The sequence below is a fragment of the Homo sapiens genome, chromosome 19 (assembly GCF_000001405.40).
Source record: "Homo sapiens chromosome 19, GRCh38.p14 Primary Assembly".
Classification (NCBI taxonomy): domain Eukaryota; kingdom Metazoa; phylum Chordata; class Mammalia; order Primates; family Hominidae; genus Homo; species Homo sapiens.
The window spans coordinates 20,496,824-20,510,666 of NC_000019.10; the positions used below are offsets into that span (position 1 = coordinate 20,496,824).

Consider the following 13,843-nt stretch of genomic DNA (forward strand, 5'->3'; position numbering starts at 1 on the left):
GGCTCACTGTAAGCTCCACCTCCCAGATTCATGCCATTCTCCTGCCTCAGCCTCCCGAGTAGCTGGGACTACAGGTGCCTGCCACCATGTGTGGCTGATTTTTTGTATTTTTTAGTAGGTACAGGGTTTCACTATGTTAGCCAGGATGGTCTCAATCTTCTGACCTTGTGATCCACCCACCTTGGCCTCCCAAAGTGCTGGGATTAGAGGCGTGAGCCACCACACCCGGTCTCATGTTATTTATTTTTAATAAAACAGGTATTGTTGTCTCCAAGCCAGACCTGATCATCTGTCTGGAGCAAGGAAAAATCCTTTGAGTATGAGGAGACATGAGATGATTGCCAAACACCCAGGTGGGTGCAAGTGAAAGTGAATACAACAGACGACACAGGTAAGAGATCCCAAGGTGAAAGAGAAAGCCAGTACTTAAAATGTGATTTGGGAAGCTGTGTTCCAAAGGAAATAGTTCCTGGGCGGTTGTTTTATAATTTTTCTCTCACAAAGGGACATCTGCTGTCTTATGCTTTCAAATTCTCTAAGGATTCTACTTTTCTTTCAGTGAGCTTCCTTCAAGTTCACAGTGAAAGCCAAAGTCTTCTTCATGGCATATAAGACACTGCACAATCTTGCTGCTTTTACATTGTTTTGATGACACAAAATTATCTGCATGATTTTAAGAAACTAAAACTATTCTCAAAGTTCTCTTTTTGCATTTTGAAATGTGCGAGAGTAGTAGTTTCTGTTGAATTTTTTTCATTATTCTGCACATTTCCATTCTGTTTTTATTACTATATAGTGTTGAAATATAGTTGGAAAGTATAAGTATGATATCCTTCTGCTCTGTTCTTTTCATCAAGATTGCTTTGGCTAATCAGTTTATTTTAGTTTCATGTAAATTTTAGAATTGTATTTTTCATTACTGAAAAAGACACCACTGCAATTTTAATAGGAAGTTTATTGAATCTATAGATCACTTTAGATAATATGGAACTCTAATAATATTTATTCTTTCAATCCATAGACATAAAATACTTTATAATTTATTTGGAACTTCTCTAATTTCTTTCACTGATTTTTTTTGGTAAAGGTTTTTCATTTCATTGGTTAATTTTTTTCTCAGAAATTATTTAATGCTATAACAAATAAGATTTTTTTGTCCTATTTTTATCAGATAGTTTGATTTAAGTGTATAAAACCGTACATATACTTGTATGTTAGTTTCATATTTTGTAATTTACTGAGTGTATTTATTAGTTTAGATAGGATTTAATGTACTGTTTATTAGTTTTTAAATATAATATTGTATGATCTACAAGCAAAAACTTTTTAGTTTTCTTAAATTTTAATGGATTTTTTTTTATTTCTTTGAGTAAATCTTCTGCCACATACTTCCAGTGTTACACTAAAATAGAAGCATTCACAATGGGCACAATATAGTTTTGCATTGGTGTCTGAATTTGATGGAGCAAAGACCTATTCAAGTTTTCATAAACTGATTTCAGAAGGTAAATATCTTCTTCTGTTGGACCCTTAGGGTGATGAGATGCCCTCTGAATTTGTAGTGAAGAAGGGTTGTAGCTTGGTCACCAGGCTGCTGGGTCTGCATTAGGGTCCACCTTTAGTTGGCTTGTTACAGGGGCTTGGGTTGTTATAATTCCCATTTTATTTTTGGACAGACTGAATATCCTTCAGAGCTTTGCTCCATAAGGCAGACACTAGGGCATGTTTTTGCAATTGGCTCTGCATATGGTGGGCCTTGTATCAGGATGTGGATGGGTGTGGCTTTCAGTGAGTACCAGAGAGCATTTCCTCAGGTAACCGTGTGGGTTACTATATAGGCAGAACTGACCATAAACTGTGGCTCAGGTAACTGAAACTGAGTCATGGAACTGCCTCAGTGACCCCAGTAAAGGCCAAGGTCTGCATGCCTGGATGCATGACTGTAAATGGGCACCTTCCTCCAAGTCTCTGGAATAGCAGGACCTCTGTCAGACTGTGGCTGGGAGGAGTTTGGGATGGTTACAGAGTAAGTTTAGAATTCTCAATGGAACCAAGTTGGGTGAACCCTATCCTGGTCTGTAGCTAAAACAGGGGTCCTGTAGTATCCCACGTGAGTGAGGGCCTGCCTTCTGAATAGAACACTTCTCAAACATAAGCTTTAACAGCATTTCACAACTGCATCCCTGGATGTCAAATCTCTCTTAGAGGTACTTATTTTGGAGATGGTGTCTTGCTACATAACCCAGGCTGGTCTCAAAATCCTGGCCTGAACTAGTTCTCCAACCTTAACGTACCATGTAGCTGTCATTACAGGTGTAAGCCATAATCCTGGTTCTCTCATAAAGGCATTTTTGTCAGGGGTGGCTGACTTTTTATGCCATAAGGGAATATGAAAATAGGGCACTTTTAATCTTTTCATCTTACTGATGTCACTGTCCTTTTACATTTTTACTTTTTATTTTCTATTTCAAATTTGTCTATAATTTTGGATTCAGTCATTTAGCACATATGCTAGAATTTGCATGGTATACCTGAAGTAAATGAGATATTAGTAGGCACCCCATATTTACTAAAATAGTTACTTATAAATTTATGTTTGCTCCGGGCAAAAAGGAATTATAGGATTTTCGTCTACTATTTTCAGCCTATATCTAAATAATAACATAGTTCATTTCCTAATATTTGTTTTACATATCAGAGGATCTAACCCTATTCTACAAAATATATATATATTTTTCTATATTTAACAATGGAAGGTTATTATTTGCTTTTAAAGTTGGAATACAGCAGTTTCATTTTGTGTAAGAATAGCATATATTTAAAACAAAAAGCAACTCTAGTTTCTTTTAAATGCTAATTTATTAAAAGTTTGTCATTGGAGTCTTCTATTTATAATTATACTGCATATTTTCTGAAATTTTAGTGCCACACAGTGCATGCCAATGATTCAAAATACAGGTATATGATGATTACATAGTAGCAGTTGAATATCACAGTTACCTACACAATTTTTTTTTTTTTTTTTTTTTTTTTGAGAAAGAGTTACCTCTCTTACCCAGGCTGGAGTGCAATAGTGTGATCTTGGCTCACTGCAACCTTCATCTCCTGGGTTCAAGCAATTCTCATGCCTCAGCCTCCCAAGTAGCTGGGATTACAGGGATGTGCCACTATGCCTGGCTAATTTTTGTATTTTTAGTAGATTTTGGGTTTCACCACATTGGCTAGGCTGCTTTTAAACTCCTCACCTCAGGTAATCTGCCCCCCTCTGCCTCCCAAAGTGCTGAGATTACAGGCATGAGCCACTGCACCTGCCTGACAATTTTTTTTTGATGATACATCAATGTGGCATACCAGATTTTGTGAGTAAATATTTCTCTTATTATTGTTTTGAAGTTCTGTGTATCAGGGGTCCCGCCCCCAATATTTCAATGTATGTTCTTTCTATTTTCCATAAGTGTCAGCTGGTTGAAAAATAAAGAGAAAGAGTACAAAGAGAGGAATTTTACAGCTGGGCCACCAGGGGTGATATCACATATCGGTAGGACCACGATGCCCACCTGAACCTTAAAACCAGCAAGTTTTTATTAAGGATTTTAAAAGGGGAGGGAGTGTATGAACAGGGAGTAGGTCACGTGCTTCAAGGGGCAAAAAGCAGAACAAAGATCACATGCTTCTAAAACAGGACCAGAGCAAAATCAGAACTCCTGATAAGGGTCTATGTTCAGCAGTGCACGTATTGTCTTAATAAACATCTTAACAGAAAAAAAGGGTTCGAGAGCAGAGAACTGGTCTGACCAAAAATTTACCAGGGTGTAGTTTCCCAATCCTAGTAATCCTGAGGGTACTGCGGGAGACCAGGGCATATCTCAGTCATTATCTCAACCACATAGGACAGACATTCCCAGAGTGGCCATTCATAGACCTCCCCCCAGGAATGAATTCCTTTCCCAGAGTATTAATATCAGTATTCCTTGCTAGGAAAAGAATTTAGTGATATCTTCCCTACTTGCACACCCATTTATAGGCTCTCTGCAAGAAGAAAAATATGGCTCTTTTTGCCCAACCCCACAGGCAGTCAGACCTTATGGTTGTCTTCCCTTGTTCCCTAAAAATCGCTGTTATTCTGTTTTCAAGGTGCACTGATTGCATATTGTTCAAACATACATGTTTTACAATCAATTTGTACAGTTAACACAATTATCATACTGGTCCTGAGGTGATGTACATCCTCAGCTAATGAAGATAACAGGATTAAGAGATTAAAATAAAGACAGGCATAAGAAATTATGAACATATTATTTGGGAAGTGATAGATGTCCATATTAAAATGAAATCTTCACAATTTATGTTCCTCTGCTGCGACTCCAGCTGGTCCCTCTGTTTGGCATCCCTGACTTCCCACAATATCTCTCCCTTTCTTTTTATATAAATGTACCAACATCGCATGCAATGTTCAAGAGTCACTAGCTGATCTCCAAGCCAAAGTATAGATTGTCTTAAATCATTAATTTGATTAGATAATTTTTGATCAATGCCTTGTTGAGAATTCCACATTTGGTTGGAATTTGCTTGCCAAAGATTAACAAAATGGGCCGTTTGAATAGATTGGTGTAATGCCACTCCGGCAGTAGTGGCCAGTGCAGTGACTATAAATAGGCCCATGATCACAGTGATTAAAGTGAAAACAAATCTCTTAGATTTTTTGAGAATTCTTTGTAACACTTCATTCATTAAATGTACTGAGAGGGAAGATTCCCAGTGTCTGGGTAAAGTTACCGAATCCAGATTCCTTCTCGAGCTCGAAGCCACATTACACTTCTCCTGGAGTCAAAATGGGAGTTAACACAAGTGTATAAATGACAATTAATGCATTGGACAGTTTGTGTGTCCAAATTTTGATATTTCCCACTAACAGCACGTAAGGAGGCTTAACACAACTTTGTATAGGAATAGTCAGGCTGGAGGTAAACAAAGCAGAACATTGATACTGAGGGAGAGTAGAGGTGGTGGCAACGCCCAATGTTGTCTGCCATAAAGAAGCAATCCGAGGTGCCCAGGGATGCTGAGGAAGTAGAGGGGCATACCTGGGTCAAGAAGAATTATCATAATGCCAATTGGAGTCCCATAAAGGAGGATCAGCATCAAAAAGAGGAAAAGGGTTCAAAGGGGATTTATCATGGGGTTCAGAGTCATGGATGCAAGGGGCAGTAGTGGGGATAACAGACAGAAAAGTTTACCCTTCCCATACTCACAGTCCAGACATGGCAATAGCCAATTTCCAAAGTTCTGAGTGTTCCAGGCTCAGAATGGGGAATATCATATGAGGCCTCGGAGGGGTAATGCCCTTATCTTCCCATTTTAAGGGAAAGAATGAGCTGAACTTCCTATGTAAAGTAGAACGATGATCCTCGTCCTCCCAATAAGAAATAAAATAAGTAGCCTCCAGGCATTCCCTTCCACCAGAGGAGCAATTGTTTTTTAAATAGCCCTTTGGTGCCCATCCTATTACTAAACCATATGCGTCATTTTTTAGTACTACTACATGTGAGTTAACACAGTCTTCCCAAATTAAAATTTTAGATGGGCCCTCAAAATTTTTAGGACATGGTTTTCCTACAGGTTTATATTGAAAGTTTGGGGTATCTCCTATTACTCCCCCTTTCATTTGTCTTAAAGGAGAAAGAGAGAGGCTGGAGATCAAATGTCCCTGTTCTCTTGTAGCTAATCTCTCCGGAAGATAAGCAGCCCAGATTTGAGCTTGTAGATGAATACAACCATCTACATGTGCATGTCCAAGGCACAGAGGAGGGTATTTATAACCCATGGTAACATTAAATTCAGTGCTTTCTTCTCCTGGTTGAGTGGGGCAATGGTCATCTGTAGCTCCATGTATCCACACACTATCATTAGTATAGATTTCTGCAGGAGCATTCATCCAGGTGAGAGGTCGAATAAGTGGAAGAAAAGGCACATAAGCCCAATAAGAATAATTTTGTGTAGCAGGTAAATCATTTTGAGGGGAAACTGATGAGACAGAAAGTTTAAGAAGAATTATTAAATAAAACCTATTGTAAGCAAGATCCTGTGCTGAAGGAGGAAGAGAAGAACAGAGGGATGTTATTTTCAGGCTAATAGAAATGGTGAGATTTTTAGGTTTAGAAGTGGCATTAATTAGAGGGGTCTCCGTTGCCATTAGGGAGGATTGAACCAGACCCATTTTGATTTGGCATGCCAGTTTTTGAGAAGTCGGCAGAGATCTCACCAGGTATGAAGGCGGTCTCTGACTTGGATGTCTTTTCCCTGTGGCTTTCTTTGTCACTATTCACACGAAGTTTGAGTCTCTCAGTGGGCACCCAGACAGGGGATTGATCTCCTGGTGAAACACAAGCATACCCTCTTCCCCATGTTATAATTGTTCCAGGTTCCCAGGTATTGGTTTGGGAGTTTTTCCGTAACACTGGCTTGCCTTCATTTAGGGAGAATTTTTTGCCTGTATAATGGCATTCAGCTGCAGTCAGAGTTGTCTTTAGGAACATTTAGAAAGTTTAAAGTAAACAATGCTAAATGTAATTGGGAGTGGGGAGTGGTTAAATTATGCTTTTGTTGCTCAGACTGTTTGGACAATTGAGTTTTTAAAGTGCAATTGGCCTGTTCCACCACAGTCTGTCCCTGAGGATTGTAAGGGATTCCGGTAGTATGGGAAATTCCCCTTGTTGCATAAATAAATCAAAAGACTTACATATCCAGGGGTGTTGTCTGTTTTTATCTGACATGGAAGCCCCATAACTACAAAGCAAGAATACTTATGTCTTTTAACATGGGCAGTGCCTTCCCCTGTTTGGCAAGTAGCCCAGATAAAGCCTGAAAAGATGTCTACAGAAACATGCATATATGAAAGTCTGCCAAAGGAGCTAACATGAGTCACATGCATTTGCCATAAGTCATTAGGAGTTAGGCCTCTGGGATTAATGCCAGATTCCTGATTTGGAAGTACAAAAACTTGGCACTGAGGGCAGCAGTGGATAATAAGCTTAGCCTCTTTCCAGGTGAGAGCAAATTTATATTTTAATCCAGTAGCATTGACATGAGTGAGATTATGGAACTCTGAGCTTCTTGGTTTGCAAAAGAGACCGGTCAACCTTTTGATTACCAGCAGGCATGGGTCCCAGTAAAGTGGTATGAGATCTGATATGTGTAGTATAGAAAGGGTGTCTACACTGGCGAACCACCTGTTGTAAACTTGAAAATAAAAAAAGCCAATTCAGAATTATCAATATGTTTGATAGTAGCGATTTCTATATTTTTAGTGGCATGTACAACATAAACAGAATCAGAGACAATATTTAACAGTTTGGGGAAATCCTGTAAGGCAATAATTACAGCAATTAACTCTGCCTTTTGAGCAGATGTGTGAGGCGTAGAAATAAGCTTGTCTGCAGGACACAGATAACCAGCATTTCCGTTACTGGAGCCATCAGTGAACACTGTAACAGCCTCAGGAATGGGCTGATCTTTGGTCTATTGAGGGACCACCCAATAAGTCATTTTTATAAAATCAAACAATTTTTTTGATAATGATTGACAATAACACAGATAAAATCAGTCAAGTGAATTTGCCACAGTATGGAATGTTGAAAAGCAGCCTGAACTTTAAGCCGATTTAAAGGAACCACAATAGATTTGGATCAAATCCAGAAATTTTAAGTGATCTACACCAAGCTTGTCCAATTAGATTGGCTATTTGGTCCAGATAAACAGACAAAGTTTTTGACACAGAATGAGGAAGAAAACACCACTCCACTAAATCATTATGTTGAACAATTAGCCCAGTAGGGGAGTGCAATGAAGCAAAAACCAGAAGCTGAAAAGGCTGAGATGGCTGTACCCTAGACAACAGGGCAGTTTGGATTCTTTCTTCCATGAATTACCGTTCCAGTGAAGCCTCAGGGGTCAAAGTCCTGAGACTGTGGAGATTGGAATCTCCACACAGTATAGAAAACAAGTTAGACAGTGCATATTTTGGAATGCCTAAGGTAGATCTTAAATAATTAATGTTACCCAAAAGTTTTTGGAAATCATTTAAGGTTTTCAAAGAATCTCTCTTAATCTGAACTTTTTGAGGTTGAATATATTCTTTATTGACCACCATTCCTAAATATTGAGCAGGAGTGGTCTTTTGAATTTTATCTTGAGTGATGTGTAATCCAGCCTCAGTGACATGGTGGCTCAAAAATTGATAACAGTCAATTAATTCTTTATCAGTGGGGGCAGCAATTAATATATCATCAATATAATGAAGAATATAGGCCTGGGGAAATTGAGCTCACACTGGTGAAAGCACCCATCCAACATAAAGCTGGCAGATGGTAGGGCTATTCAGCATTCCCTGAGGAAGTACTCTCCATTGATAATGAGCTACAGGCTCCTGATTATTGATAGATGGTACAGTAAAGGCAAATTTTTCACAATCCAATTTATGTAAAGCAATAAAAATACTTTAAGATCAATAACTATGAGAGGAAATTCTTAGGTATTAAAGCAGGGGCAGGCATGCCAGGTTGGATGGCTCCCATAGGTTTAATTACAGCATTAATGGACCTTAAATCAGTTACCATCCACCACTTGCCTGATTTCTTTTTTACTAGAAACACAGGAGAACTCCAGGGGGAAAGAGAAGATTCCACATTTCCAAGTTGTAACTGTTCAGAAACCAATTGAGTTGAAGCCTCCAGTTTTTTTTAGAGAGTGGCCACTGATCAATCCAAACAGGTGTTTTAGATTTTCATTGTAAAGGAATAGGATTAGGAGGCATGGCAGTGGCCGCCATTAAAAAGGAGAACCTAAACCAGCGCTGTCTTCTTTTACAGTAACTTGAAGAGGTTTAGCAATTCCTTCATGTTTTGGACTGAAACCGAGTCTGGGAACAAACCCCATGTTTTCCATTATATGTTGACTGGGAGCACTATAAGAGTTATGCTGAATATTAATTTCAGCTCCCCCTTGTGCCAACAAATCTCTACCCCAAAGATTAATGGGGATTGGCATGATATAAGGCTGAATTGCACCCTTTTGACCATCAGGGCCAATGCAAGGCAAGATAAATGTGCTCTGGTGAACTTCATCAGCTTTTCCAACACCTACTAGTCCCATGTTAGTGGGATGTTTAAGTCAAGAGGAAGGCCATAAATTAGAGGAAATATTAGAAATGTCAGCCCCAGTATCTACTAGGCCCTCAAACTTTTTTCCTTGAAGGCGTATGGTGCAGGTGGGCCATTGTTTAGAAATTACGTTAATCAAATAAGTGGCTTTTTCACCACCAGAGCCCATCCCAGGGCCCCGTGTCTTATCTCCTTTGTTTAAACAATATTAGGTAGTGAAAGTAATTGAGCAATTGACTCACTGGCCGGAATGGAAACAGGAACCTTGGCAGACACCATAAGTTTAATCTCATCAGAGGAATCAGAATTAATGAGACAAGTATGAACTATGATACCTTTAGCAGAGGTGGATACCCTACATCCTACATAACACCAGGCCCACCGAACCTTGAGATAAAGGGCCAGTGACCCCTCTGGGGACAATTAAAGGCAAAGAATTAGGTAGTAAATTTAGAGGAATGGTAATACAGAGATCGACCCCCCTGACCCCTACTGTGGAGGTAGACAAGCACTGTACTGAGATAGAAGAAGAGGATGGGACCCATCTGGGTTGGCTGTAGGTAAATTTGTTTGTGCTGGGGGCTACGTTGGGACCACTTGAAGTGGAAATGCAACATTGGTCTGAGTCTGAGGTGTCCCATTTGATATTGGGGTCTGGGACTGGCCCCACTTCCCATTTCCCTGGTTCTGTGGCAAGGGATTTGCATCTATATCAGACTTAGAGGGGCAAGTACTTGCCCAGTGTTTATCTTTAGACAACATGGGCAAACAGTAGTAGGAGAATTTGACTGTGTTTGTTGAGCCAGCTTGGCTGCTTTTAAGTTTTTAACAGGCTCCAAGAAAAGAATAAGTTGAGACAGTTTGACTGCCATCCTTCATGGCCTGTGCCCACAGAATAGCTTTGTGGGTCTCTGATCCAATGCCTTCCCAAGCTTTAATATATGCAGGCAACACCTCATGATCAGGAAAATTTTGTCTTTGGATGGAACACATGGCAATTTTACATTCATGGTTCACATTCTCAAAAGCTAACATATGAAGGAGAATACCTTGAGCATGCTCATGAGAGACAGATTTTTCAACAGCATCTTGTAATTTAGCCAAAAAAATGAGGGTATAATTCTGACCTTGTTTAACACTAGTAAATGAAACAGGAGCTTGGCCTGGGGTGTGTAATTTATCCCAAACTCTCATACACAACTTCGTTACTTGTTCCATGGTGAGAGCATCAAAGCCTAATTGAACGCTAGTGTCAGAGTAATTATCAGAGCCTGTGAGCTGAGCCTGAGTAATTAGAATGCCATCAGCCCAATTTAGTTGAGCCTGCAGACGGGCCTCCTCTGACCACCAGGTACAGAATTGTAAATGCTGAGATGCAGTTAGAACAGCTTTTGCCAAAAAGTCCCAGTCTAAAAGAAGCAAAATGACCTCAGTACAAAGAGTCTGTAATACCATTTTAACATATGGAGAACTAGGACCATACTGAATAAAGAGATCCTTGAATTCTTTTAAAAAGGTAAGATTGAGCAGTGCATACCAAAGCACTTGTACCCCTTGAGCATCAGGAGGTTCCAGCATGACCGGATAAGCCTACATCTCTAATCCACTTGTTTCTTTGTTCTGGTGTAATAAGTGTTGCATTAAAGTTTCAAGAACAGGCACATGAGACGGAGTTGGCATAGAAGTGACAGGAAAAGTATGTGCAGATAAGAGAAACTGAGGTTGAGGAGGTCAGACTGGTATGAGAGTGTGAGAAAGGGGCATTGGGGGAGCACAAGAGGCAGAAGCATACTGGTGATTATTGTCCCAGTCCTGTGCAACTAGAGTGGCAGGAGTGTCCTTGCATGAAGAAGCGTATAGAGAAGCAGGCTGAGTGGATGGCAAAGTGACTGATTGAGGGACCAAAATGACAGGAGGGTGAGGAGCTGTGGTGGATGGGGGAGGGCCTACAGAATTACAGGTAAATTATAGTTTGGTCCTGGAGCCATTAGGGGTCTCCGGAGGCAAAGCCTGCAAACGTTTGAAGAGGGAAGAGTTAGCATAGATATGGTCCTGGCTGTCCAAGTTGGGGCCACGGGAGCTACAAGTACCGGCTCTTCATGAAAAGAAATAAGATCATCAGGGGAGATGTTAAGCCAAAGTCACTGGAGTTAGATATTGAATTCTCAACATTGTCAGGTCAGGGAGGAGTAGGCAAAGGGAGAGGCTGAGCAGATAATGAAGGCCGAGTGGGAGAGGAAAGCTGAGGAAGAGGTAGAGGGTTGCCAGATTTAGAAAATTGTGGTAACTGCAGGGGACACGGGATTGGTATGTCATTAGGACACCAGGTACCAAGTCCCAATCACCCCAAACAGTGATGGCAACATAATTTCCTGTCAGGACCAGTTCCCAGAATTTTGCACCAACATGATCCCATAGTTCCACATCTAACGTTCCCTTTTCAGGAAACCAAGGACAGTATTCTTCCACTGCCCTGAATAGGGTGACCATATTTTCCTTGGGCACCAGAACTCCACCAAGTTTTAACAGGAGTTTAATATAGCAGAGATAAGCAAAATGTTTAGACTCCATGTGACCCATAGTTACCGCAGACAATACACAGACAACTCACCAATCGTCAGGGAGTCAAACAAGCATTTCTGTGGACTGGACCAATGAACATTCCTCCACACCTACCAAAGGGAATCAGGTTCCCACATGCACTTAGGAAAAAGAAAACAACATTGGCACACCAGTTATTGGGGAAAACCACCCCCAATACTTCAACATATGTTCTTTCTATTTTCCATAAGTGTCGGCCGGCTGAGAAATAAAGAGAAAGAGTACAAAGAGAGGAATTTTACAGCTGGGACACCAGGGGTGACATCATATATCAGTAGGACCGTGATGCCCACCTGAGCCTTAAAACCAGCAAGTTTTTATTAAGGATTTTAAAAGGAGAGGGGGTGTATGAACAGGGAGTAGGTCGCATGCTTCAAGGGGCAAAAAGCAGAACAAAGATCACATGTTTCTAAGGGAACAGGACAAGGGCAAAATCAGAACTCCTGATAAGGGTCTATGTTCTGTAGTGCATGTATTTTCTTGATAAACATCTTAACAGAAAACAGGATTTGAGAGCAGAGAACCGGTCTGACCAAAAATTTACCAGGGTGTAGTTTCCCAATCCTAGTAATCCTGAGGGTACTGTGGGAGATCAGAGCATATCTCAGTCCTTATCTCAACTGCATAGGACAGACATTCCCAAAGAGGCCATTTATAGACCTCCCCCCAGGAATGAATTCCTTTCCCAGAGTATTAATATCAGTATTCCTTGCTAGGAAAAGAATTTAGTGATATCTTCCCTACTTGCACATCCGTTTATAGGCTCTCTGCAAGAAGAAAAATATGGCTCTTTTTGCCCAACCCCACAGGCAGTCAGACCTTATGGTTGTCTTTCCTTGTTCCCTAAAAACCACGTTATTCTGTTCTTTTTCAAGGTGCACTGATTGCATATTGTTCAAACACACATGTTTTACAATCAATTTGTACTGTTAACACAATTATCATACTGGTCCTGGGGTGATGTACAGCCTCAGCTAATGAAGATAACAGGATTAAGAGATTAAAATAAAGCTAGGCATAAGAAATTATGGAGGTATTATTTGGGAAGTGATAAATGTCCATATTAAAATGAAATCTTCACAGTTTATGTTCCTGTGCTGCAACTCCAGCCGGTCCCTCCATTTGGGGTCCCTGACTTCCCCCAACGCTATGTTAGTGAGTTTTTTCAGGGTAGGTTACTTTTTTTTTTGTTTTGAGATAAAGTCTCGCTCTGTCACCCAGGCTAAAGTTTACTGGCACAATCTCAAATCACTGCAACCTCTGCCTTCCGAGTTCAACCCATTCTTCTGCCTCAGCCTCCAAAGTAGCTGAGAATACAGATGCATGCAAGCCCAGCTAATTTGTGCATTATTATTGTAGCAGGACAAGCTGCAGACAAAACCCTTCAGACACCAAGTTAGAGAAGAAAGGGCTTTATTCGGCCAGGAGCTTTGGCAAGACTCACGTCTCCAACAACTGAGCTCCCCAAGTGAGGAATTCCTGTCCCTTTTAAGGGCTTGCAACTCTAATGGGGTCCATGTGAGAGGGCTGTGATCAATTGAGCAAGCAGGGGTATGTGACTGGAGGCTGCATGCACTGGTGATTAGAATGGAACAGAATAGGACAGGGATCTTCACAGTGCTTTTCTTGTACAAATAACTGATTAGGTCAGGGTTGTCTGCTTATGGATTTCATTTCTGCTTTTTAGTTTTTACTGCTTTCTTTGGAGGCAGAAATTGGGCATAAGACAATATGAGGGGTGGTCTCCTCCCTATTCCCCCCCTTTGAGAATCTCAGTAGTGGGAGTTCTCACTTTCATTCTGGCTACCCGTGTCTTCTTACAAGGCAGATCGATAGTGATTCAAATAGTACACTTGTGCTGAAACATTTTGGTGAACTAAGGTAGCAGTGAAGCTTTTTATCATTTGAAAAAGTACAGGTAGCAAACAAGGGAGCAGTAAGCAGGTTCCTATTACTATTATAACTCTTATTATAACAGTTTTAAATGCTCCTAGCACTGGAAACCATTTTCTAAACTTGGCACCAGGATCAAATCCATGCCACATTTGCACAGGCACATGTGCCAGTTTTGTCATATCTCTAAC

The 13,843-nt window shown here is 40.4% G+C and overlaps 1 long non-coding RNA gene across 1 annotated transcript in view; it reads left to right on the forward strand.

Moving 5' to 3' along the window:
- LOC105372316 (uncharacterized) overlaps window positions 1-13,843 on the forward strand; it is a 98,054-nt gene that overhangs the window by 23,782 nt on the left and 60,429 nt on the right. The window contains exon 2 of the long non-coding RNA XR_936408.3: window positions 259-391. This is a non-coding gene — a long non-coding RNA (uncharacterized LOC105372316). The remainder of the gene's footprint in view (window positions 1-258; window positions 392-13,843) is intronic.